This window comes from Homo sapiens, chromosome 6 (genome assembly GCF_000001405.40).
Source record: "Homo sapiens chromosome 6, GRCh38.p14 Primary Assembly".
Lineage (NCBI taxonomy): Eukaryota > Metazoa > Chordata > Mammalia > Primates > Hominidae > Homo > Homo sapiens.
The window spans coordinates 105,232,130-105,234,626 of record NC_000006.12 but is presented as its reverse complement, the minus strand read 5'-3'; the positions used below and the strand labels follow the sequence as shown (position 1 = coordinate 105,234,626).

Genomic DNA, 2,497 nt, shown 5'->3' with positions numbered 1-2,497 from the left:
TTTATCCCACTGTGAAGGGCCCACTCCAGTTCTTTCGAAAGATCTCTTAGACCACACAGAATATTTGAATTAATTTTACCAGCAAAATCAAATTTTTAAAAATGTTATTTAAAACACCTTTGGGTCATTTCCTAAACTAATACATATTTGAACAAAATATAATTCCTGGGGAGGGGCCAAGATGGCCGAATGGGAACAGCTGTGGTCGGCAGCTCCCAGCAAGACCAGTGCAGAAGGTGGGTGATTTCTGCACTTCCAACTGCAGATGAGGTACCCTGTTCATCTCATTGGGACCAGTTAGGCAGTGGGTGCAACCCAGAGAGAGCAAGCAGAAACAGGGTGGGGCATCGCTTCACCCAGAAAGTGCAAGGAGCCAGGAGACCTCCCTTCTCCAGCCAAGGGAAGCCGTGAGGGACTCTGCTACCCGGCCTAGGTACTATGCTTTTCTCACAATTTTTGCAATCCACAGATCAGGAGATTCCCTTGTGCGCCTACACCACCAGGGCCCTGGGTTTCAAGCACAAAACTGGGCAGCTGTTTGGGCAGACACTGAGCTAGCTGCAGTATTTGTTTTTGTGCCCCAGTGGCACCTGGAACCCCAGCAAGACAGAACTGTTCACTCCCCTGGAAAGGGGACTGAAGCCAGGGAGCCAAGTGGTCTCGCTCAACAGGTCCCATTCCCATGGAGCCCAGCAAGCTAAGAACCACTGGCTTGAAATTTTTCGCTGCCAGCACAGTGGTCTGAAGTCAACCTGGGATGATTGTGCTTGGCGGGGGGAGGGGCGTCTGCCTTTACTGAGGCTTTAGTAGGCAATTTTCCCCTGAAAGTGCTAAGGAAGCTGGGAGGTTTGGACTGGGCGGAATTCACCACAGCACGGCAAAGTGGCTATGGCCAGACTGCTTCTTTAGATTCCTCCTCACTGGGCAGGGCATCTCTGAAGGAAAGGTAACAGCCCCAGTCAGGGGCTTACAGACAAAAGCCCCATTTCCCTGGGACAGAGCACCTGGGGAAAGGGGCGGCTGTGGCCACAGCTTCAGCAGAGTTAATCATTCCTGCCTGCCGGCTCTGAAGAGAGCAGCTGATCCTGACAAGAGGGATTCTCCAGGCACAGCTCACCAGCTCTGCTACCGGACAGGCTGCCTCAAGTGGGTCCCTGACCCCTGTGCCTCCTGACTGGAAGAGACCTCCCAACAGGGGTCGAGAGACACCTCATACAGGAGACCTCTGGCTGGCATCAGGCCAGTGACCCTCTTGGATGAAGCTTCTTGAGGAAGGAGCAGGCAACAATCTTTCCTGTCCTGCATCCTCCACTGGCGAAACACAGGCAAAGAGGGTCTGGAGTGGACCTCCAGCAAACTGCAGCATTTCTGCAGAAGAGGGGCCTGACTGTTAGAAGAAAAACTAGGAAACAGCAACAACATCAACATCAAAGAAAAAGACCCCCACATGAAAACTCCACCCAAAGGTCATCAGCCTCAAAAATCAAAGGTAGATAAATCCACAAAGATGAGGAAAAAACAGTGCAAAAACACTGAAAATTCCAAAAACCAGAATCTCCTCCAAATGATTGCAACTCCTTCTCCAGCAAGGGCACAAAACTGGATGGAGAATGACATTGATGAATTGACAGAATTAGGCTTCAGAAGGTGGGTAATAACAAACACCTTTGAGCTAAAGAAGCATGTTCTAACCCAATGCAAGGAAGCTAAGAACCTTGATAGAAGGTTACAGGAACTGCTAACTAGAATAACCAGTTTAGAAAGGAACATAAATGACCTGATGGAGCTGAAAAACACAGCACAAGAACTTTGTGAAGCATACACAAGTATCAATAGCCAAATTGATTAAGCAGAAGAAAGGATAAGAGAGATTGAAGATCACCTTACTGAAATAAGGTGTGAAGACAAGATTAGAGAAAAAAGAATGAAAAGGAATGAACAAAGCCTCCAAGAAATATGCAACTATGTGAAAAGACCAAACCTATGACTGATTGGTATACTGAAAGTGATGGAGAGAATGGAACCAAGTTGGGAAACACACTTCAGTATATTATCCAGGAGAAATTCCCCAACCTAGCAACAGGCCAACATTCGAATTCAGGAAATACAGAGAACACCACTAAGATACTCCTCAAGAAGAACAACCCCAAGACACATAATCATCAGATTCTCCAAGGTTGAAATGAAGGAAAAAATGTTAAGGGCAGCCAGAGAGAAAGGTTGGGTTACCTACAAAGAGAAGCCCATTAGACTAACAGCAGATCTCTGTGCAGAAACCCCACAAGCCAGAAGAGAGTGGGGGCCAATATTCAACATTCTTAAAGAATTTTCAACCCCGAATTTCATATCCACCCAAACCAAGTTTCATAAGCGAAGGAGAAATAAAATCCTTTACAGACAAGCAAAAGCTGAGAGATTTTGTCACCACCTGGCCTGCCTTACAAGAGCTCCTGAAGGAAGCACTAAATATGGAAAGGAAAAACCAGTACCAGCCACT

At 47.1% G+C, this 2,497-nt stretch overlaps 2 annotated features.

Moving 5' to 3' along the window:
- Positions 320-819: an enhancer, noted in NCBI's record as "H3K27ac hESC enhancer chr6:105681683-105682182 (GRCh37/hg19 assembly coordinates)". NCBI's record gives its function as "activates a minimal SCP1, AML or CMV promoter by ChIP-STARR-seq in primed H9 embryonic stem cells {active_cell/tissue: H9 hESC(primed)}" and the evidence as "EXISTENCE:reporter gene assay evidence [ECO:0000049][PMID:30033119]".
- Positions 820-1,321: an enhancer, noted in NCBI's record as "H3K27ac hESC enhancer chr6:105681181-105681682 (GRCh37/hg19 assembly coordinates)". NCBI's record gives its function as "activates a minimal SCP1, AML or CMV promoter by ChIP-STARR-seq in primed H9 embryonic stem cells {active_cell/tissue: H9 hESC(primed)}" and the evidence as "EXISTENCE:reporter gene assay evidence [ECO:0000049][PMID:30033119]".